Here is a 25,650-nt window from a genome sequence, read left to right as displayed (position 1 = left end):
GCTCATTAAATCCTCTGCTGTCTGTAATATCATCACCTGTATTTTACAGACAAAAAGACGGGGCTTAAAAAAAAATCAGGATTTAGATAAACCACAGAGTAGGCTTATCTGGGTCTGTTTCTTCATCTCTGTAAGGAAGGGTTGGACTAACTGACCCTTAACATTACCCCAACTCTGAGATTCTGAGATTGTGAAAATCAAAAGCATAACAATGACAATCAAGAAAGTCTACACAGGCATTATGCAAAGCAAGGCTATGCATGGACACTTCAAGCAGCCCTCCTTAGGTAAAACCTTAAGGAAGACCAACTTTGCCTCCCTGTCTTCGCCCCTTCTCCATCTGGAGGTGCCTCCCCTCCTGCTCTCCTTTGCTTCTCTTTGCTTTCAGAATAACTGTCAGCAAGATTAATTTAGATCCACGTGTTCCCTCTCCCTGGGGCATTTGCCTTTCTTTGAATCTTCTCTCAATGCAGTGAAAGTTGTGTCCTGCCCCCTTAAGAAAGGATTTCGGGCATAAGCACACTGGTGGAAGAAGTGTTTACCAATCAGGGACCCTGTCTGCCAGCAAAGGCAGCTTCCTTCCTCAGCCGCTTCTGGGCTGAAGGGCAGATGAGGAAAACTAGGAGAAGGAGCAAAGCCCCAACTCAAATAGTACCTATTGAGACCTCTTTCAGATGCATTCATGCATATATACAGCTGAAGTTGTCTTGCAAAACTGATGGACAAAATTCAACCTTGTGATATTAGAAACTGTAACTTACGAGTTAGCTAGTTTTCACATTGCAAATAAATCAGCACCTGGTCACTTTAAATAGCAAAATCACCTTCTGGACGTGCGATTTATAAAAACTATTTCACATAAAGCATTTCAGGTGTTTATACACAAGGTCTCTCAAATCCCTGCAAAATCTGCACACATGGAACATTCAGCAAAATGTAAAAAAAAAGTACACACTCGTATGAATAATTAATTTAATAATACTTCTTCACAGTGTCTTCTTGACAATGTAATTAACTACTAAACGATAAACCATTACTTGCTATAATACAGTATATCTAGTACATACATATAGTATTATTCTCATGAAGCAATATTTTATAACTATTTTCAGCATTTTGGAGAATTGGGAAAAAGAAACATTACTATTTCAAGTAGAATAACTAAACATTAAAATTAGGAATAATTCTGCTAAAAAGATCTCAGCTTTTTTCAGCATTTTAATTCTAAGCTACTTTTTTTAATTTGTGTTTATGGAAATGTTCTCTACATTTTTTAAGGAACTGTGTGCTAAAAATGGTATTCCAAATTAATGATTTTTAAATTGTATCTAAATTTTTTCATTAAATATATATAACTTTTAAATGCAAACAAAATGAATTTGTACTTTAAAAAATATGTAGCATTTTGGTAGTGGAAAGGAATGCCTTTGTGAGCTCCTTCATGTTTCAATTGATATACTGTCTTCTACACAAGTGCCGCATGAGCTATACCACACTTGATTTAATTGATTTTATTATTATCAGGCCTGTTAATGTTTTAGAATTGCTTATGCCAGGGAGAAAGGGAAAGAGTGTTTGTTCTGAATGAGATTTATTTTATAAAGCACAAGTTCAACTCATCAAAATCTCTATTTTTTAGAAAGAAATTAATTTGTTGTTCTTGCACATGTTTAATTAAACTACATTAAGAAAAAAAAAGGCCTTAGAGTTGAGAACTTTCCAAACCATTTATTTTAGCTACAGAATTGGCAAAAACATACAAGATGATGTGCAATTTCCTTATTTTGGAGGATTAGTTGTTTGGAGTGTGGTTACGGAGTTTCTCAACCCACACTTTTTCAACGTTGATAACCATTAAGAAAAGACATAGAATACGCAATTCTGTTCACTCAAATTTGGTAGATTCTGGGAGTGAGTTTCTTACCCCAACATTAGTGTTACAATGCACACGAGTTTAACTGTAGTTAGCTACTTTCATTCAGGGCTCTTGTTAGCATCTTATAGTAAAGGCGTGGATGAGGAGGGGGGAAAATAAAGCTTTGACAGATGGTACTCAGCGTTTGACTCCTGCTGAGCTCAGCAGGACCTGTGGTTTCCAAGGTTAGGGCTGTCAAAATGGCTCTGTCTATCAAGTGAATAACAAAGTGTAGACTGCCTGTCTGTTTCCTATACAAAACTTAGATTTCATTTGCCATTATTGTCGGCCTTTCTGCTGATTTAATAACTTCTAAGGAGAAGAACTAGGGGTTCTGATGCAGCCTCACTATTTAAGAAACTACTTGGAAAGGGAATTCTCAAGGGCTGAAAGAGGTAGGCCGCGATCTGATCTCTTTCTCTTTGGTTTCTCTCTAAGGCTTCAAGACTTAAAAAGGATTCAAAAGACACCAAAGGTTCACTTTTGGCTAAAAGCTAAATGTGAACCTTTCAAAATGAACTCATTGCTGTCTTCCTCTCAAAAGGGTAAAATTTTTTTTATTAAGAATCCTTGGGATAGTGGATAATTATTCAACTAGAAATATTGAGAATGAAAATGGAACTGTTTCTGTTATGAAATACATGGATCTGTTTAGATGTGTTTGTCAGGGCCTGTTTTTCACCTTTCATAGCTCTTAATATTAAAAACTCTCCCATTTTTTTTTACCTATTTCTAAAGCCTTCAGATGGTCAGATAAAGTACCTGATGCTGAAAAACAGGAAATTGAATCATGTCTCCAAAATGTGCCTTTTGTCATGCACTGTTACAGCTATATTTCTTGGTAAGTCTGATGTTCTCCTGTATGCATATTTTGTGATTACAAGATTGTTATTGACCTCTTGGGATTTTAATAAAAAGCTTGTGGATTCATAAACCCAGGCTTTCTATTAAGATATGCTGAAATTAGGATTGGGGTTTTGCTTCTGAATAAACTAATTATATTTCAATATTTATATTAAATATTAATACACTTAAATTTAATACACTTAAAGTGAAACACCTGATTGTTATTTCAAAAATGTGGCATTTAAAAAATGACAGACTTAGACCTTTGTCCTGTCCCAAAACTAAGAATTTTAGTTGTCATTTTTGAGAAGCTGATAAAGGGAAATCTCGTCTCTTTTCAATGCTGGCTTGTGCAAACATTTCCACTAGTGTAGTGATTATTCCCAACCAGCATATCTGAAAAGATGACATTCTCCCTACAATATAGTTGAAGAAATTTCTTCTGCAAATATTTAGTTTATATAAATCCCATAATCATAAAGGGAACGTTATTTGGAAGAATGGCGATTTATTGTGATTTTTAGTACAGTTCAGTATTTTGAACATTAAACTTAAAAAAAATTTAGGCTTTAAAATATTTACTTTCTTTTAAAACTTATTTTAAAAACCCTAACCCAGTGTTTTTTCTGAGACACAGGGCCTATACTACATATTAGATATTCAGTAAATGTTATTGAATTGAAATAAAAAGGATAATGACTATTGAGTAAAAGATGAAAGGAATTCTTGAATTGAAATAAAAGGGAGACAACTTTTACGTCAGATTATTGTAAGAAATTATCAAATGCCAATTTAGCATAAATCCTTTTCCATTTGTGCTTGGGTTTTATCCTGGAAATGTTTGATGCTTTTAATCATCTCTGTAGATAATAATGATAATTAAACAGAAATTTCAAAAAAAATTCTAAACTAAAAAGCAGTTTTCTTCTCCCATTTTATCTCTCTGCCTTTAGCTTGCTTTGTTCAATAGGGCAGTTTCTAAGCTTCTTTCTAACAGCCTATACTATCACTACACCATCCCTGCCCCCAAAGGAGGTTTTGTTAATGGTAAACTTGCTGAATCAAATTTGCTTTTTATGTGTTTGCATTTTTTGAAGAGTCTCTGAGGGGTTTCTTCATGTGTCTATAGGGAAAATGTGCTTCTGTATTTTCATCCAAGTTCATAAACTATAAGGCTCTGGAAATTAAGTCCATCTCTGGCAGGAAATCAGCAATCCTGAAGGAAGGAAACAGAACTAAAACAGATACAATGTTTGAGCACTATGATCACATACCATACTTAGTCTCCAACCAAATCCTTTCTGGTTCTAATCCACAGCACTGGCCCAGAGCTCTGGGACCCAGAAGTCAAAATATCCACGACTAACTAATATAACTAATATGTTCTAAGTGCACTAAGCCCTTCAATCATTTTGTCGTTGTTTTTAACTGTAGTAAAATACACATAACATAAAATTTATCATCTTAATCATTTTTAAATGTACAGTTCAGTAGTGTTAAGTACATTCACATTATTGTGCAGCTAATCTCCAGAACTGTTTTGATCTTACAAAATGAAAACTCTGTACTCATAAACAACACTCCCCCATTCCCGTCTCTTCCAGGCCCTTGGGAAACACCATTCTACTTTCTGTCTTTATGAATTTGAGTAGTCTAGGTACCTTACATATAAATGGAATCATTACAGTATCTGTCTTTTTGTGCTGGCTTATTTCACTTAGCATAATGTTTTCAAAGTGCATTAATGTAGCATGTGTCAGAATTTCCTTCCTTTTTAAGGCTGAGTAATATTCCATTGTATGTATATGCACCACATTCTGCTTATCCATTCATCTGTCATTTGACACTTGGATTGCGTCTACCTTTTGGCTGCTGTCAATAAGGCTGCTATGCACATGGGTGTACAACCTTCAGTCGTTTCAGAATGTGATTACTACATGCTGCAGAGTAAATTAAGACATACCGGAGAAAATACTTCAGAAAAGTAGGCAGAAAATTACAATAATAAAAATAATAGATAACACTTATTGAGAGCTTTCTATGTTCCGGGCACTGTGCCACACACAGCACTGATCTTAACTTTCTGAGATATGCACTATTATTACCCTCATTTTGTAGAAGTGAAAACAAGCACAGAGAGGTTGGTTAACTAGTCCAAAGTCACTCACCAAGTAAGTCACTGGAATGCAAATCTGGGAAATGGGGCCAGAGTTTATTCATTTGGAGGAGGAAAGAAATTACAGAATCCGTATTCATGGAGCCACAGCCAAGTACCCTTAGGGAAGATCTCCTTGACCACTGCACAGAGCATGACCTGAGCAAAAGGGCACTTTTGAATAAGAGCCAGAGAAAACAGCTCTGTCACCTGCTAGCTGCAGGACCTTGAACAAGACAACTGCCCTTCTGGGCTTAATGTTTCGTCTGTGAAAGGAGAGACTGAATTGAGTGTTCTATGGCCTGTTATGTTCAGCATCCCTCATTCCACGTGAATTGTTATCTAATACTTTATGACTTGGTTATTTTACCTACTTCAAGACAAGAAAATAATTTAAAATTTTCAAATATATGCTTAAGTCTACAAATTTTGATAATGACTAATTTTCTGATTCTCATTTCATTGTATTCAAATTATTCCTTGATATAAAAAATATCGTTTTTACTCCTCTAATGAATCTAAAAAGAAAGAATACAATGACATGGTACCAACAGGAGTGTGTGAGGTAAAATGTTTCTCCTTCAGAGGTCCCTGAGCTATGCCTACCTCAACAAAAGCGAAGTAGAGAGTTGCAAACAGTGCTCTTTAATATATATTCAAATAATTAGGGTTATGTGACCCCCTCCCCTTTCACCCTGCCACTAAGAGAAACAAGAAGGGTGAGCCTGAATTAATGTTTTCCTCTTCACAGTAAAAATGCATCACTTCATTGTATCTCTAGAAGCACGGACTGTACATAAGTAGCCTTATTATAAATAATTTTACTAGCTCTTTTGGTTCTATGGTTATGAGTTTAGGTTATGATTTTTTTGTGTTCGCTTTCAGAGCATAACCCTAATTCTGGGTGTAGTGATTGAATTGGATCCAAGGAAACAAAGGAAAAATATTTTTTAAATAAATGTTTAAAATTTTTTTTTTTTAAATTCTGAGTTCCTGGAGAAGAGTATTTGAATGCCACTGATCTAATTTATAAGTAGGTGCATGTTTGCAAACCCATGAAGAACGCTTACCAGAAAGAACCTTGCAAATCAGGCTCAAGAGAAGACTTGAGTTGCACTTTTGTTGTAATGCTGTACAAATCAAGTGGCAAATGCTTATTTGACCAAAGTCCAAGTGTTTCAAGTAGAGTACAGTCAAGTGATTTGATCAGGTCTGCATTTTTTCAGGGATGTCTGCAGATAAAGTTCAATATTAACTTAAGGGAATGTTTTCATTTTCTTTTAGCCAGCATTTATGGCAAGATAGACAATTTTATTTTAAACCAAATTATTACAATGGAAGCGCTTTCCATATTCCAATACATGAATTTGTTATTCTTCATATAGTAACTACATTCAGCCTCCAGCCAAGATAAAGAATTATGTGATACATACTTCATCTTCCATCACTGCTTTCAAAAGATGTGAATTCTGCAAACCAGACAGAAGAGGGAGCTATCCATCTGGAAATTAACCAATCCTTTCAAAAACATGTCAAATAAATATAGAAGAAAATTCTAATATAATCAAGTCTTATTTAGTCTTGTATTTTATAAAAATACTATAATTTTTCTGGTGCATTAAAAATGACAAAGAAAACGACCAGTAAAGGCAAAAACATTGAGTTAATTAATGAAAAGGCAAAATATACAAACGATTAAAAGGCCAATTAAAAATACACTCACATTTTACGGTTTGATCTCACATTTTATAGCAAAATGTAAAACCAGAACACACCTCCAAAAAGGGCAAAATAATACTCTGCTGCTATACGTATTACTAATATCACCTTCCTATAGATCCTGTTCTTAAAATGGAATGCTGACTTTAAAATTGATAACATCTGGAAATAATGGCAAAAAGGAAAAACTGTTGGGCTGCATCTGTCTTGAAAATGCTATGTAATAAGATTTACTTAATATATTTGAAAAAGGAAAAATGTTTTGTTCCCCAATTTGTTGCAACATCTGAAAGTTCACGAGGTTATGACCCCTCTTTAAGAAAGCATCTCCCACCACCTGCAAATACCCCAGGAAAAGCAGTTGGAAACAATAAAACACGTGCTAGTTAACTGTTACCAGGGAAACGGTTCTGGTTCACCAATCAGAGCGCCTGTGCTTCCCAGTGGCTTTGTCCGGGGGAGACATGCGCCAGCTGTTAGTGAATAACCATTGTTATAGATCATCAGGAAATCACAGTCAGCAGGCAACCCAGCCCCACTGGAAGTTTATTTCTCATATTTGTTCATCACCAGGGCAATTCTCCACCTTTAAAACATCCTCTTAGGCTGGGTTAACTAAATAACACCCTACACGGGTAAGGTCATTTAAAAAAGGCAAGTTGCAAAATGGTCTTTTTGCCAGCAAACAGATTTCTAACTTTGATTCCAAATGCATCACCCTCCTGTCCCCTTCACTTTCCAGTGGCAATTTTAAGACTGATATCTAAAGTCTGTGCTCCTTTGAGTGCTGTTCCTCCTTCACCTAACTGGCACTCCAGGTACCAAGAGCTTTCACACCATACCCTCCAAGACCTGTCAGAGATCATTTGGCAGTTCCCATGCTGGAAAGACCAGTGTGATTTGCAAACGGGGAGTTCTGAAGAGGCTGGCCTGTCATGAGGAAAGGGGCTGAGAGGACAAAACCCTGGTTCCCTCCCTCGCTAACACACACAATTCAACCAGAATAGCCCCACTTTATCAATTTTATTATTTTTATAAATTTATAAATTCATATATTTTTTGAAAAAAGATGGCGTTACTTTTTAAAGTTTAAAAACCAGCTCTCAACCTATCCAATCATCAGACTCATCTTAAAAAGTAAAGTCATCAAGAGTTTTAGTTTCAGGTCCAGCATGTTAGGCTGTTAAGAAGTCACCACTCTAACAACAAGTAAAAAAGCCAAACAAACTGAAAAATCAGCAACTCTTCTTAGATCTGTCAGAGAAGTGAGGTCACAGGACAAATCACTGTCCCCCAAATTGGAGAGACAGACAGACAAATAGAATCACAACTTACTAGAGCAGAAGTCTATGAGCAGTCTCTTTCTCAGGAGTCAGTGCCAGGGTTAGAAAACCAGAACTGCAATTGCTAGAAGATCAGTGTGGACAAGTTTAAGAATTAAAACTCAGGAGGACCCAGACATGTGGTCTAACACACGTTACCAATAGAGAAGCAAAAATAAGAATTACACCTGACTGGTCCTCAGAACATGCAAGCAAGAAGAGAGTGGTGTAAAATATTTAAACTATTGAGATAGAAACTACCAGCCTAGAACTCTATACACTGTGAAATTATCCTTCAAAAGTAAAGAAGAAATAAAGACTTTCTCAGGCAAAAATTGAAAGTATTTGTTGGCCAGTAGTCCTGCCTTGCAAGAAATTCTTCAAAGAAGTTCTTCAGAGCAAAAGAAAATTATATAGGTTAGAAACTCAGATCTACGTAACGAAATGAGCAATGGAGAATCAATCAGTGAAAGTGAAATAAAACTTTTATTTTTCTTATTCTTAAATGATTTAACACAAAACTGTTCAAAATAACAGCAATGATATATTCAATTATGTATACTTATATGTTTTAGATATATGTGCACACACATAAACATACATATGTATGCTAATGTATGCTTATATGTAAGTGAATGAATAATGGCAATGATACAAAAGGGAGAACAGAAGAGTTAGGAATATTTTGTTATTATAATGTACTTGCACTGCTCATAAAGCAGTATATTGTTAATTGGACTTGAATTCATTATAAATGTCTATTGCAAACTTTGGGGGAAAACTACTAAATTTTTTTTAATGTGACTTATGTCCTAAGAAAGAAGAGAAAATGAAATCATATAAAATGGTCAATTAAAACTACAAAAGCAGAACAGGTGTAGAAGACAAAATAGGAATGAAGAGCAAGAAGAACAAATAGAAAACAATAACAAATATGTTACATATTAATCCAGCTATAATAATAATCACTTTAACCTTCAATGGTCTATATATGCCTATTAACTGACAGAGATTGTCAGACTGGATTAAAAAACAAGACCCAACTACATGTTGTATACAAGAAGCCCACTTTAAATATAAAGACACATAAAGATTAAAAGTAAGCCAGGCGCGGTGGCTCACACCTGTAATCCCAGCACTTTGGGAGGCTGAGGTGGGTGGATCGCCTGAGGTCAGGAGTTTGAGACCAGCCTGGCCAACGTGGTGAAACCCCATCTCTACTAAAAATACAAAAAAATTAGCTGGGCATGGTGGTGGGCACCTGTAATCCCAGCTACTCGGGAGGCTAAGGCAGGAGAATTGCTTGAACGAGGGAAGTGGAGGTTGCAGTGAGCCGAGATCACGCCATTGCACTCCAGCCTGGGCAACAAGAGCAAAACTCCATCTCAAAAAAAAAAAAGTTTAAAAGTAAGGGTATGAAGAAAAAAATACCATGTAATATTAATCGAAAGAAAGCAGAAAATCTGTTTTTAAAAAAGCAGGAGTAGCTATATTAATTTCAGAGAGAGCCAACTTCAGAACAAGGAAAGTTAGGAGGGATAAAGAGAGCTATTCCATAATGATGGAGGGGTCAGTCCTCTAAAACAACATAACAATTTTTAACGTGTATGCACCCAACAGAGCACCAAACTATGTGAAGCAAAAACTGATAGAAAGGCAAGGAGGAACAGATAAATCCACTATTATAATTGGAGACTTTACCACTATCAGAAATGGACAGATCCACTAGGCAGAAAATCAGTAAAGACATAGTTGAACTCAACAACACCATCAATCATTGGGATATAATTGACATCCATAGATTATTTCATCCAACAACTTATTACACATCCATCTCAACCTCACATGGAGCATTTGCCAGGATAGAATACTTTCTGGGCCATAAAACACATCTTAAAATATTTAAAAGGATAGAAATCATACAATGTATGCTGTTAGAACGTAATGGAATTAAAGTAAATATCAATAACAGAATGACAACTGGAAAAGCTCAAAAAACTTAGAGACTAACAAACTTTTAAATAACATATGGGTCGAAGAATAAATCTCAAGAGAAATTGAAAATATACAGTTTATCAAAATTTGTGGAATGCAATGAAAGCAACATTTAGAGGGAAGCTTATAGCATTGAATGCATATATTATGAAAGAAGAAAGATCTGAAATAAATAACCTAAGCTTCCACTTTAGGGAACTAGGAAAAAAAATTAAATCCAAGGAAAGCAGAAAAAAATAAAAATTAAAGCAGAAATTAATGAAATTGAAAACAGGAAATCAATAGAAACATCCAACAAAACCAAATGCTGGTTCTCTGAAAAGATAATAAAAGTGATAAATCTCTAGCCAGGTTAAATAAGAAAAAAAGATAAGACTAATATCTCAATGATAAGCACTAATATCAGAAATGAAGTAGAGGACATCATACATATACCACGGGCATTAAAAGGATAATAAAGGAATATTACGGACAACTCTATGCCCACAGATTTGATAATCTGGATTAAATGGACCAATTCCTAGACACAGCTTGCCAAAAGTCACACAAACAGAAATGGACAATGTGAATGGCCTATATCTATTAGTTAAATTAGATCAATAATTAATAACCTTCCAACACAGAAAGCACAAGCCCCAGATAAGCTTGCCCATGAATTCTACCAAACATTTAAAGAACAAATTATATTAGTTTTCTACAGTCTCTTTTAGAAAATAAAAACAGAGGGAATACTTCCTCACTCATTCCATGAGGCCAGCATTACCCTAATACCAAAGTCAGACAAAGGCTTTACAAAAAAAGACTTCAGACCAATGCCTCTCATGAAAAAGGATGCAGAAATCCTCTACAAAATATTAGCAAGTCAAATTCAACAATGTATAAAAAGAATTATACACCATGACTAAATGTGATTTATCCCAGGTATGCGAGGATGGTTCAACATTTGAAAATTAATTAATGTAATCTAGCGTATCAGAAAACTAAAGAAGAAAAATCACATTATCATATCAATGGATGCAGAAAAAGTATTTGACAAAAGCAATGCCTATTTATGGTAAAAAAAAAAAAAAGAATCTCAGCAAACTAGGAATAGAAAGGAACTTCCTCAACTTATAAAGAATATCTACCAAAAAAACTACAGCAAACATCATACTTAATGGTGAGAAACTCAAAGCTTTCCCACTAAGATCAAGAATAAGACAAGAATGTCTCTTCTCTCCACTGATTTTTCACACCATACTGGCAGTTACAGCTAATGCAATAGAACAAGAAAAGAAAATAGAAAATATACAGATTGGGAAAGAAGAAATAAAACTGTCTTTGTTTGCAAATGACATGACCATATATATAGAAAGCCCAAAATAATCAACAAAAAAACTCCGGGAAATAAGCAATTATAGCACGGTTGCAAGATATAAGGTTAATATATAAAAGTCAATCACTTTCCTATATACCAGCAATGAACAATGAAATTTGAAATTAACAACACATTGCCATTTATATTAACACCCCAAAAATGAAATACTTAACTATAAATCTAACAAAAGATGTACAAGATCTATATGAAAAACTACAAAACCCTGATGAAAGATATGGAGGAAGAACTAAATAAATAGAGAGATAGCCCATGTTCCTGAGTAAGAAAACTATATTGTCAAGATGTCAGTTCTTCTTAATTTGAACTATAGATTCAAAGAAGTCCCAATCAAAATCCCAGAAAGTGATTTTGTGTATATTGACAAACCAATTCTAATGTTTATGTGTAGAGGTAAAAGATCCAGAATACCAACTCATTATTCAAGGAGAATAAAATTGGAGGACTGACACAACCTGACTTCAAGACTTACTGTATCACTACGGCAGTCAAGCCAGTGTAGTACTGATGAAAGAATAGGTGAATAGATTAATGGAACATAATAGAAGGCCTAGATATAGACCCACACAAGCATGGTTAGCTGATCTTTGACAAAGGAGCAAAGGCAATACAATGGAGCAAAGAGTCTTTTCAAGAAATAGTGCTGGAGCAACTGGACATCCACATGCAAAAAATAATAATAATAATCTCGACACAAATCTTATATCCTTCACAAAAGTTACTCATAGTGGTTCATAGGCCTAAATACAAAATGCAAAACTATAAAACTCCTGGAAGATAACACAAGAGAAAACTTAGATGACCTTCGGCATGACATTGACTTTTTAGATATAACCCCAAAGGCACGACCTATGAAAGAAATAATTGATAAGGTGGGCTTCATTAAAATGTAAAACTTCTGCTCTGCAAAAGATTATGTTAAGAGATAGTGAGTAGATAAGCCACAGACTGGGAGAAAATATTTGCAAAAAAAAATCTGATAAAGAATTGTTATCTAAAATACACAAAGAACACTTAAAACTGAACAATAATAAAATGAACCCAATCTAAAAATGGGCAATATACCTGAATAGACATATCACCAAAGAAGATATAATAAGTAGCATATGAAAGATTTTTGATATTGTATGTCATTAGGGAACTGAAAATTAAAATGAGGTACCACTAAACACCTAAGAGAGTGGCTAAAATCCAGAACACTGACAGCACCAAATGCTGATGAGGATGTGGAACAACAGGAACTCTCAGTCATTGCTGAAGGGAATGTAAAATGGTACAGCCACTTTGGAAGACCGTTCATCAGTTTCTTTAAAAACTAAACATACTTTTACCTTACAATCCAGCAATCACGCTCCTAGGTATTTACCCAAAGGAGCTGAAAACTTACGTCCTCACAAAAACCTGCACATGGATGTTTACAGCAGCTTAATTCATAATTGCCAACACTTGGAAGAAACCAAAATGTCTTTCAGTAGGTGAATGGATAAATAAACTGTGATACATCCAGACAAAGGAATATTATTCAGCACTAAAAAGAAATGAGCCAGCAAGCCATGAAAAGACATGGAGGAAATGTAAATGTATATTACCAAGTTAAGAAGTCAATCTGGAAAGGCTAAATGCTGTATGATTCCAACAATATGATATTCAGGAGAAGGCAAAAACTATGGAAACAGTAAAAACCTCAGTGGGTGGCATGAGTTAGAGGGGAGGAAGAGATGAATAGGCAGAGGATTTTTAGGGCACTGAAGCTATTCTGCATGATACTGCAGTGGTAGATACATATCATTATACATTTGTCAAAACACAGAGAACACCAGGAATGAACTCTAATGTAAACTGGATTTGAGGGTGGTAATGATGTGTCAATGTAGGTTCATCTATCATAACAAACGTTATCACTATGGTGGGGGATGTCGTTAGCAGGGGAGATTGTACATGGATGGGGATAGGGTATATAGGAACTCTCTATACTTTCCACTCAATTTTGCGTGAATCTAAAACTGCCCTAAAAAATAAAGTTTACTAATTTTTTTCTTAAAAAAGAGACTTCTCCAGTCCACATCTTGTAAGTTCAGGTTCAGGAGGTAGGTCTTGGTTGGGGCTTGGAAATCTGTCTTCTCCATAAATCCAAAATGTTTCTGATATACAGCCAGCGTTGAGAATCACTGGGTAGATCTTGACCTCTGATCTTTTAAGATGTAACTGTACTGTTCAATTTTTTTTTCAGGTCTTTACTGTCTGCTAGAAATAATCTTATAAATTCATCTGTACTAATGTTGGTGGCAGATAATGCTTAGATATTAAAAATTTGCATTTATAGAAGGGTCTTTTTCTACCTAAGTACTTAAACTAACAAGAGCCCCATATTATAGGCTGGCAGCCTCTAAACAGCCTACTCATAGAGGCAACTAAAATGAGGATTCTGTCTCAAAGCTCTGTTCCATCCATGCCTTCCCATGGAGCAAAGGAACAAACAAGATATCAACAATTGGAGAAATGGCAACTATAATTCCATCATTCACAACTTCAGTTTTCCTTCAAGAGAACAAGTGACACTGTTAATCAGGCCCTGCAAGCACAAATAAACAAAAATAATAATTTGAGAAAAGAAAATGAATGATGGCCTAAGAAGTCTAGTGTTTCTTCCACAACCAAGGTATAGTAGTCTCATCCTTTGGAGCTTTAGATGAACAGACTGAGGATCATAGAGTTTCTAACACAGCCCCTTCTTTCTATGCAACCCAGAATGATGTAGTTCTCTATTTTTAAAAGCAGCAAAAAGGATGGAAGTGTTCTCCCTTGAAGCCCAGATGTTTTCTATCTTTCTAAGCTGCAATTATTTCAACACATTATTTTAGCTACACTTACATCAGATCAGAGCCACCTGTTATATCCTCTGCACACTTATGAGAGATTTACTGTTAAGTTTCTATTTATGGTTTATTTAGGAAAGTCAGAATGCAATTGAGAGGACGCTTTTAAAGTCATCTTGAGGTCCAAGGATGTGTGTATAGCAGATTAACAGATAATCAAGACACTGTGTTGTGTAGTGTAAACATAATCAACCCTAATTTTGTGATTCATTATTACATAAATTTGGACGTAACCCGGACTAAAAAACTCATCATCTGAAATTCAACTACATGCCTGAAAAACATAATATAACATTGTTATACTTTAAGGAAGTTATTAATCTACTCCTAAACCAAGTATTACAAAAAATTGTATTATAATGCATTTTATTGTAGGAGGATTCTTTATTACCAAGATTTACATATTTAAATATTCTCTCATTTTATCTTGTCTGAAATTAAATGTCACTGTAATATCAATAAAATATGTGAATATATATATATATATTTCCTTTCTAATGGTAAACAAGTATTTGCAAAAAACATCCTAAGTAATAGCCAATCATTAATAAATGTTTACTGAGCACCTCCTATAGGCCAGGAATTATTCCATGTGCTGGGATATAGAAGAGAACAAAATATATGAAGTCCCTGTTCTAGGAAAATGTTGGAATAAATTTATAGTTGACATTGACCCAAAACCCGACATTGTAGTGTTAATAATATCACAATATTCACAAGTTAGATTTTTGAGCTCTAAAGTAAATATTGCATATCATGCATTATTCCAGCACTTTAAAGATTAGCAGCAGGTGATGGTATTATCATAAGACCATTATTAGGCAGAAGAAAGATGGAGAGAATAAAAGTAAAAAGCACATCTCCTCATTCTACTCATCTAATCTTGTTATTACTTAGGCATAACTAAATTACAAAAGACTAAGAAACTCAACTGCAAAGTCTAACGTTAGATAAAATTGCTTGAAATGCAAGGATATTTACCTGGATTGACCATAAGGCTTTTGGTGTGACTAACACACTGGTAAAATAAGCACATATGAAACAAACAGCATAATTTGAGAAAAAAAAATGAATGATGGCATAAGAAGCCTCGTCTTTCTTCCATGACCAAGGTATACTAGTCTCATCCACTGGTTGTGGCTTGGGAAACTTCACTTTTCATCTTTTCCTTCATTCTCTATGGAGATGTGTGGCAAAATTAGAGAGTATCCATTCTCATTTATGCACCTATCTGAATCCCAGCTATAACTCCTACTTCCCATCAATTTTAATCTTGAATAAATATAGTTTTAAAATTTAGCAAGACCAGAAAGATCACTGTAGAATGACGACAACTTTTTTCTATCTTAAGTACAACTTCAAAGTGGCAGACTGGAAAATCTCTGCAGGCAAATGTGATGTCACTGAGGAAATCACACACTTACCCGTAGAGATTCTACAGTCTGACATCTTCAAGCATCGAACCATTTCATCAACTATGCTTTTGTTATAAGCAGTTCTTTGGCCTGGAATAAATCTAGCATGGCCAAAAAGCCAAGCTATAGCCCACTTACTGAACTTTAACTTCTTCTAAACCAAGGTGACTACATGCCTCGTGATGGTTGAATCCCACTAAATTAAATTTTAAAATAAGAAGGTTGTTTGTAACATGGCTTAAAGCAGTTGTTGTCAAAGTTTGATTCCCAGACTAGCATCAGCAGCGTCACCTAGGAACCTGTTAGAAATGCAAATTCTTGCACCCCACTAGAGGCCTCCTGAATCAGAAACTCAGAATGGGCCCTGCAATCTGTGTTTCAACAAGCTTTCCAGGTAATTCCGATTCATGCTCAAGTTTGAGAACCACTGGCTTAGAGAGAGCAAAAGATTATAACTGGAACACTAAAATAATCAGACAAAATAATATGTATTCATAAAAATATTGTCTAGAATACATTTCTAAAGTAGTGGTCTTAATAAGTATAAGCATTAATAATAATGGAAAGAAACATTTTCATTTAACTCTTACTTTGCCAATAGAATTGCTCAGATGTACTTATTTCCTTAGAAATAAGGAGTTAAGAAATCTTATTTAAGAGGAGAAAACGTTTTCATGTTTGGGAGGATTAAAAGGGTACTGACATCATTCAAGTCATGAGCCATAATTCTTATTAGATTTTATTGCTACATTCTTCGCACAGCTTTGGAAAGTTATTCCTAAGAGCACAAAATATGCACTTAGACTGCACACAGAGAAGGAAAATGCTCTCACAATGAAATTATTTTAGTCTGGCCCAGTAATATTTGAAAGACTCAAGATTTGTTCTCTCTGAAACATATCCTGTCAAAATAAGAGATGTTTGTTTAAATTTATAGTTTTCAACATCCTTTATAATTTTCCCTCCTAAGTTTAATTTGTCTGTAAGCAATCCAATTTCTATATACTAAAAAAATTATTTTCCCTTCTCCTCTAATATAATAAAAATGTCATGACTAAAAGGTAAAACAAAAAATAAAAAGTATTAAAAATTATTATTGAAATTGGTCTTCAATGACAATGAATAAAAGCCATAATTTGATTTTTATATATTTATAATAATGTTATGTATCTGTTAGTATCTGAAACATTGGTATGCCTGTTAATCAATAACTTCTGGTAGCATGTTAAAAATTCATCTTCAGTTTCATTCTTAGTGAATTCATTTGGATTATTTCTGGACCACACCAATTTCCCATGATGTGATGGAAAAAATTGTAACATTCAAAAATTGAATTAGATCACACACAAAATGTCAACTCACTCAGATTATAATAATAAGGTTTGGCTTGTTCATTGAAAAGTGGAGCCCAACTATGTCTAGAGTCTGTAAACTCAGTGCTGGAGATCAACAAGATGTTTTAGACACTTCACCACTTCAGGTGACCTGAAAGAAATACATTTCCTTAGATGAGGATAAGAAGGCTCTCCAAATATCAGGTTTCTTTGCTTTCATTGGATTTAATTCAACTCAATATTGATGCAATTGCTAATCAGAAGCTCCAACTAACAGTCTAAAATGCCTTTGATAGTAACAAAAGAAAAAAATTATTAACCATATATGCAATTTGTTACACAAAATATTTCAAAACATGAGGTTTCATTAAAGGAAACAATAAAAACATTGCTAGGAATTTAGCATCCTCCCAGGCAGTAGGAGTGTTTTAAGTATTTGATAACAACGACCAATAGTCACTATTGCATGAAGCACTCTACACATATTATTTAACTTAGTTTTCTCACAAACCCAGTGAAGAAGGTATTATTGGCACTCCTATTTTATAGTCCTTTTTTTCTCCTAACAAAGAAATTGAAGTTCAAAAAGACATAAATTGGAAGGAAATAAATTACCTAAATGTGCATAATTCTACATCTCAGACAAAATAGCACAGAGGAACAAGCATGGAACTACAAGTCAGGAAACTTAGGTTTTATGTTGTTTGTTTTTGTTTTTTCAAATTTTTATTTTGAAAAATGTATAGACTTACAAGCAGTTAAAAAATAATAATACAGGGGTTCTATGTACCTTCACTCAATTTCCCCCAACGGAACATCTTACATAACTATAGTAAAATATCTAAACCAGGAAATTGACATTTATACAACCCATAGATCTTATTCAGATTTCACCAGTGTACAAGCACTCATGTGTGTACATGTGTATAGTTCTGTGCAACTTGCCACATGTAGATTTGTGTAACAACTGCCATAGTCAAGATACACAATTATTTCATCACCACAAATATCCCGGTGTTACCCCTCTCTAGTTACACCTATCTCTTTACCCTCTTGATGCCCCATCCCTAACTCCTGGCAACCACTAATCTGTTTACTATCTCTATAATTTTGTCATTTTTAGAATGTTTATAAATTTAATCATATAGTAGGTAACCTTTTGAGATTGAATTTTTTTACTCAGCTTAATTCTTTTGACATCCATCCAAGCTGTTGCATGTATCAATAGTTTGTTCCTTTTTACTGTTGAGTAGTATTTCATGATATGGATGCAGCATAGTTTGTTTAATGATTCACCCATTGAAGGACACTTAGTTTGTGTCTGTGTCTTGGTATTACAAACAAAACTACTACAAACAATATAGTCTAAGATTATTGTGTGAGCATAAATTTTCATTTTTCTGGGATAAATGTCAAGAGATGTGATTGTTGGGTCATATGATAAATGCATGTTTACTTTTTGATTGTTATTACTTTTTTAAAAAATTATTTTAGATTCAGCGGTACATGTCCAGGTTTGTTACATGGATATATTGTGTAATGCTGAGGTTTGGGGCTTCTGTTGACCCTATCACCCAAATAGTGAACATAGTACCCAATAGGTAGTTTTTCAACTCTTGCCTCCCCACTCCTTTTGGGGTCCCCAGTGTCTACTGAGGAAATGTAGGTTTTCAGTATCTGATTCCCCTACTTAAATTAAGCCTCTCTGATTTTCCTGATCTTTACAACAGGCAAATTATTCACTTTCCTGCTTACTTCTCATGGCTGGTAAAATATTTGTTAATAATAAAGAACTGGAAAGATGTAGGACGTAGTCATTATGCTTAGAGTGAATGGGCAAGCTTTGAGGATAGCCTAGACTCCTGCTGCTGTTTCTCACCACCACAGTCTTCTCCCATTGCTGTGGAAACTGCAAGAGAGAGGATGCTGGTGGGAGGACTATTTTGCCTCCTAATCGGCCCCTCCTAAGGACACTGGCCATGTATCTTTGATCATTTTCCTTCCTGGGCGCAGCCATGCCTCTTTGCCCTAGCCTTAGTGATACTAAAGACACAACCCTTAATTAAGGCAAGCAAACAGCTTCTCTTGAAGGACTGTGCTAGATGACTCCACATGGTCTTTCTTCCTCTGATGGGGTAACAGGGTTCCCTCTCTTTTCTTTCAAAGGATGTCAGGGTTTTCAATAAATGTGTAACAAAAATACACCAATGCCCAATGGCCTATGCAGAAGTAAAGCTTGGCTACAATGTGCCATCTCTCAAGGACCTGAAATTCCTTTCTGGATACAATCTTGACAGACATTTCAGAAGCTCCACCATTCACAGAAATCAAATCTTTGGATTTGGAAAGGAAAATAGTGGCCACTTATTCCAGCACTCTTATATATTGAGCACTGACTGTATACTGGGCATTTGACATACACAGTCCCATTTAGTCCCCATAACAATGTTATATGAAGTGAGACTATTACTGGTCTCAATTTGCAGATGAAAAAAAGCTGAAACTCCTAGAGGCTTAATAAGGGCCTTGAACCAGGTCTGCTTGACTCCAAAGCCCACAATTTTAACCACTAGCTGATTTTGAGGCCCAAAAATTAAGTGGCTCCAGGACATATAGCTGGTTAGTGGTAAACCTGAAACTACAGTCCAGTTTACTTTCTACCACATGACACTTATCCCTAAATAATTAACTTGAACAGTCTACATTCTAATAAAAGTTCCTGAAAGAGTTACTCAATTTTTCATGTAAGCCAAATGGTTGACTCAAAATCAAAGCTACTAAATTATAACCCATTGGCTAAAGTAGACGCCAAGGAAGAAAGATTTATATAAATTTGACATCTATTTATACTTTAACCTCAGTGGGTAAATGCTAAATGCTGTTGCTGAGAACACAAAAACAACATAAAATGCACATAGTCCTATGAAATAGATGCTTCATCTCTTCCTAATTGTTACTGCCAACCTAAAAATCAAGGCAGAACAAGTAATTAATATATTATTAGCATAACAGGGATCATTTGGGGAGTTCCTAAGACCGAGCTTGAGTTTGCATTCACAAACAGGTAAATGTTACCATATTCATTATTCATCATCAAATGTACATATCATGTCAACTCTGTATCCTGTAAAGTTTCAACTAAAGAATCCATTAAGGATATTATAGTCTATAAAAGTCAGATAACTGTCCTATTTAGCAAATGTCTTTTTATTTTCTTCTTATCATCACCCACCATGGTGGCTGCCATGGAGAACCTTCTTCAGTTCACAAATGACTATCCACTAAAGTACAAGTATGCACATAATGGAATCTGATCTAATATAAGGTGTGGTTAATTGCTATACTAAGTTGTAATATTGACTCCTTGAAGCAAAGGGCGTGGTTTTAACTCACAATTTGTTTTCCTCTGTGATACTTCTGTTCATCTTCTTTCCTCTTTTGAGACAGGGTCTTGCTGTTGACCAAGCTAGAGTGCAGTGATTGATCGTAGCTCACTGCAGCCTCAAAATCCTGAGCTCAAGCAATCCTCCTGCCTCCTAAGTAGCTGGGACTACAAGCGTGTGCCACCACACCCAGCTAACTTGTTAAATTTTTTGTAGAGATGAGGTCTTGCTATGTTGCCCAAGCTTGTCTACAACTCTAGGCCTCAAGTTATCCTCCCATCTTAGCCTCCCAAAGTGCAAGGATTACAGATGTGAGCGACTTACACCCAGCTTTGCTGCTTATTTTCTTTCCTTATTGATATCTGCAAAACCCAGAGCCTGTGTTTGGTTGTGGAGAAGGATAGAGGTAAAGGGCAAATAATTTCAATCCGTGTATAAAACACACCACTAATACACAAAGAATATTGTCTCTCCTGAGGCTCCAAGCAACAACTGCAGAGAACTAAAAGTCATATATCTTTGCACAGATTTTTGCTTTAGGGGGCCAAAGATCACCATGTACTATATAAAAAAGGTAACATCACCATTGTCATTATAAAGAAATATTTACTAAGCACACAATGTGCTTGGGACAGTGCCAAAAGCTGTAATTTCTTGAAGGCTTTAAGCAGCATAGTGCTTTTAAAACAAAAAATGATAAAACAGGGATTCCTCCTTGAACCTCAATTTTTCAGTACCCTGTTGGATTTGGAAGGTGTATAAAATTGTCCCTTATTTCAGGTTTTAGTTATAATTTATGCAGATTTCAATAGATTGCTTTTATAGAATTGGATGGATTTCAAGTGTTTTCTCCAACTCATTTTTCAAACAAGCCACTTTTCTCACTTTATGCATAAAACATCCTAACTGGCCACATTTTACTTTAAATGTCTATGTTAGAAAGACACAAATTTATGTAAGAAACTAAGCATGTGAAAACTCTAAGTAGTAAATATTTATAAAGATGGTAATGTTCCCTTTCTTGACCTGGGTGGTAGTTACGTGGGTGTGTTTACCTTGTGATAATTCATCAAATTGCACACTTATGATTTGAGCATTTTTCTCTAAGTGTATTTACCTCAATATAGTAACTTAAAAGTAAGTATTTATGAAGACTCCTGGCATTCGCTCCCCAAACATATGCAAGCCAATCAGAATAGTTGAGTATGTATTGTCCCTGCCTGAGGGACGTGCATTCTTCAATCTCCATCCTAAAAGATTGTTTTTAGGACCTCAGGCCTTAGGCATCAGGTATTATCCCCTTGGCCTTTTTCCCCTATGGGCTTTCTTCCCTAAACTGAGCCCCTGTCTTCTCTAATTGGTCCTGAATTTCCCTTACTATCTCCAAAGCAGTTGAGAAAATGTTTCATTCATCTTTTTCCTCACAGTACTATGTCTAGCCACCCTTGCTGTTGCCCTATAAAGATCCAGGTGTCCTTTTACAGGTGCTTCCTAGGTGGCTTTCTTAGGGTCCTCTTCAAAAGGAGCTCTTAAAATCAGAGAATGATGCTGCCTCCTGGTATCTGTCTCTTTCAGTCTCCTTTTCTCACTATATTGCTGGAACTCATATTTCTGAAAAATGAGTTCCATGTTGCTTTGTAACTCCATGGAAAGGTATTGCTATTGGTTATTCTCCCATTTTCAGTTTGATTTCTGTAACAGCCTTCCTGAAAGGGTTATTGTCAAGATTAAATGAGATAATCTACATAAAATGCTTAGTAGAAGGCTAAGAACATGGTCATCCCTAATTAAATAGCAGCTTTTGACACTGTTATTAGTACTGTATGGTTCCATGTCAGACATTGTTAGGCATTTTATGTAAATATTTTTATTTAAACTCCCAGCAAGCCTGTGAGATAGATACTGGGATCCTATTTTTTAGTGAGAAAACTGAGATTTTGTAGGGGTTATGCCTTTTTCCTGGGTCACTAGACAGTTAAATTGACAATGGGGATGCATTTGCTTCTAGAATAAACACCTTCTTATAGGATGTGAATCCTGCCAGATTGTGGCATGGCACTCAACTCCTCAAAGAAGCCATTGAGTTCCAGTCAGGCACTGCGAGAATTGCAGAAGAAATCTCAAACTTGGCCCCTGCCTCCAAGAAGCTGACAATGGGTAAGTCTACCCTTTTGCACTCTTGCCCAACATTCTGTCGTGGAGACTTACAGGCTTACAGGCTGCAAGTATCTAATCATCTTCCATGCTTTCATGTTTGTTGCCTTTAGCATCACTTCCATCTTCCCAAACCAAGTATCCTCTTAGAAAACTCTGACAAACAGCCAGGCGTGGTGGCTCACGCCTGTAATCCTAGCACTTTGGGAGGCTGAGGCAGGTGGATTGCCTGAGCTCAGGAGTTCGAAACCAGTCTGGGCAACACGGTGAAACCCTGTCTCTACTAAAAATACAAAAAAATAAGCCAGGCATGGTGGCGGGTGCCTGTAGTCCCAGCTACTCAGGAGGCTGAGGCAGGAGAATTGCTTGAACCCGGGAGGCAGAGGTTGCAGTGAGCCGAGATCGTGCCACTGCACTCCAGACTGGGTGACAGAGCGAGACTCCATCTCCAGAAAAAAAGAAAAAAGAAAACTCTGACGAACTTAGACTGACATTTCTTCTCTGTTGCAAGAATCTTCAGAGATCTGGATTCTAAACACTGTCTCCTAAATATTTCCAGGAAAAACTTTTCTCCTTCTTTTACTGTGGATGTACTCTACCAGAGAAGGTAGGTCCAAGCTGATTCAGCCATTACAACTTCAATTCCATGGAGCAGATCAGTGGCTCATGTCACTGAAGTTAATTATTATTATGTCTCTGGTCTGCAGAAAGAGCACCTCCAAAATTTTCTTTTTTTATGAAAGAGAAGTTGGCATAAGTTTAGTCTTAAGGATTGCAACCCAATTACATATAGGCAGCCCCCAATGACTATTCTAACAGAAACTACTTTATTTCTCTCCAATTACTCATACTATTATCATTATCCAACCTACTAATAATGGCTTTCTCTGAGGACATTACTTATCCGCTTGGGTCACAGGGATGTAGAATGCACCATATCTCTTGAAGTGGAGCTGGCTTCTTTTTAAGGCTTTGCAGAAGCTTGAACTAGAGAAGGATAAAGCCTTTTTATGGGAACCATCCTTTGTATCAGTAATACTTATGTTCTGTTGTTAATTGTGACTACCTATTCAAGAATGTCTCCACCATTCAGAATGTGGAAAACATGCCAGTGGGAAGCTCAGCTCAATGGCAGTTCCGGCTTTGGCTTTGGACTCGACACCCACTTATGCACACTATGACTCAAATTCCCTTCTCGTAATGCCTTATCTCTAGACACCACTCTCCATGAATCCCTTTCCCTGTTCGTAATCACTTCTAATCCTCATGTTCCTCTGTCTGACCTTCTTTTCCCACAAAAATCCAGAAAGTATGCACTTAATAAACAAACAAATCCATTGACAAAGATAGATGTATTCAGGGCAGCTTTACCAAAATTCAAACTGGTATTTAACACAATTCCAGCCAAAATGCTCATTTGTAACTCCAGCCAACTATTTTATTGAAATCAATTTGAAGCCAAACATTTTCCAAATGCCTACAAGGCTGCAAAAATAATAAATAATGTTTGGCTATTTTTCAAACCTTGGAGGATACAGAGTCCCAGTCCCAGAAATAACAAAAAGACAAGGTGAAAGGAAGCAGACTTGAAAAGAGTTATTGCTTGGATAGTGACTCTCAACCAGAAATCAAAGAGCAGAAGTTCATTTAGGGAAACTTCAGGTAGTTATCATAACTGCTAGGAAATTAGGATACAGAAGAGAGTAACATTGAGTGGATTCTCATGGGTCCTCTCATCTACCAGCACTTTTTCAGTTGATTTATATAGATTTTCTACCTTTGTTTTGAGTTAATTTCCAAAAAGTAGGATGCAAAAGATACTCAAATATAACAAAATTAATACTACTTCAGCACTAGCTTGAGTTTGAGTATCCAAAGACCTGAGATGTTTCAGAATTCAAGGCTGAAGTTTGAGGGAGGACATGTCTCAGATGATGGAGAGAAAGAAGAGAAAACTGAATTGCAAATACAGCTTGTATCAACTCTAGATACCATAAGGTTCAGAGGAATCAATAACATCATGTAAACTCAGAAGCCCTTCAACTTAGAGATTGAGACATCTCTTGACCTATATACTAACTACCCTAGTACATTGGTAATAAACCAGTAATTCAAGCAAGATACAGAAATGGATATGAAAAAATTCTAGGAAGGAGGAAAATAACAAAAAAGACACAAGCATAAAAAATGAGTGGGATTTGGATAACATTTGTAAACTCTAGAGGTGGAAGATTTGTAAAACTAACAGAAAAAGTAATTGAGTTAACCAAAGGACATAGGAGTAAAATTAAAACAAAATAAAATTAGCATTTATGGAGAATCTGTGTATCAGATTCTGTACTAGTTAGACATTTTCACAAACACCACATTTAGTTCTTAATCTCATGCACAAGTATTACCAACACAGAAACTGAGGCTCCAAGAAATAAAACAATTTGCCTTAAAGCCCACAGGTAGTTAAGTATTAGAACCAGGAGTCACACCAAGGTCCACTTCACTCCAAAGCTCATGTGCTTCCCGACACCCCACACACCATTCCACAGCCAAGATAGCTGCAGGAAGGGGTAGTCCTCCAGGTTTTCAGAAGATATCCAAATAATTACAGCTTTGAATAAATAACACTAGTCTTCAGGGAAATAGGAAAATTGCCACCATCTGAACAGACCCAATGACCAAACTGAAATTTATTACTCTCAAATACAAATCTATAGAGAGTCTCTAACAGAACTAAGATCACAAATGCATACATTGCGGTGCACCCAAAATATGCATATAGAGACATCTTAGATAATATCCTCAGAATACTTGAACAGAATGTATAGATAGTGTTAGAAACAGCTTACTCCTTGATACTTTGCTACTGTATTTCAGTTTATCTGGCCTGTGGACTATCTATCCACATTAATATAGCTTTGTTGCCAAAACAACTTTGTATCAGTTTCTTCCTTTTTCTTTTTTAAATGCCCATCACAGCAACCCACTAAGGTAGGCAAGGCAGAAACGTATATGTCTTTGCTTCCATTGAGAGCCCACCTCCCTGTGCAGTTGTGGACATGACAACTTAAGATTAATAAAAAGCTGTCTCATCTTCCACATCAGCATATGATGTTCCCATTTATGATCTTTTCTTAATGTTTTCTAGCAGAGGGAAGAAGAACTAC

General features: G+C 35.7%; 2 long non-coding RNA genes and 1 other non-coding gene across 3 annotated transcripts in view; 2 read left to right on the top strand and 1 right to left on the bottom strand.

Moving 5' to 3' along the window:
* The window catches only part of LOC105374690 (uncharacterized), a 231,734-nt gene that overhangs the window by 161,193 nt on the left and 44,891 nt on the right, over positions 1 to 25,650 (bottom strand). The gene's annotated exons all lie outside the window — the stretch shown is intronic.
* MIR217HG (MIR217 host gene) overlaps positions 1 to 25,650 on the top strand; it is an 83,921-nt gene that overhangs the window by 30,962 nt on the left and 27,309 nt on the right. Inside the window, exon 2 of the long non-coding RNA NR_126406.1 lies at positions 2,654 to 2,756. This is a non-coding gene — a long non-coding RNA (MIR217 host gene). The remainder of the gene's footprint in view (positions 1 to 2,653; positions 2,757 to 25,650) is intronic.
* Positions 15,570 to 15,651, top strand: MIR216B (microRNA 216b). The gene has a single exon (NR_030623.1). It is a non-coding gene; the product is annotated as a microRNA 216b (primary transcript).

This window comes from Homo sapiens, chromosome 2 (assembly GCF_000001405.40).
Source record: "Homo sapiens chromosome 2, GRCh38.p14 Primary Assembly".
In the NCBI taxonomy this organism is placed as follows: Eukaryota; Metazoa; Chordata; class Mammalia; order Primates; family Hominidae; genus Homo; species Homo sapiens.
Note: the sequence above shows the minus strand (reverse complement) of the source record. Positions and strands in the feature narration are given on the sequence as shown.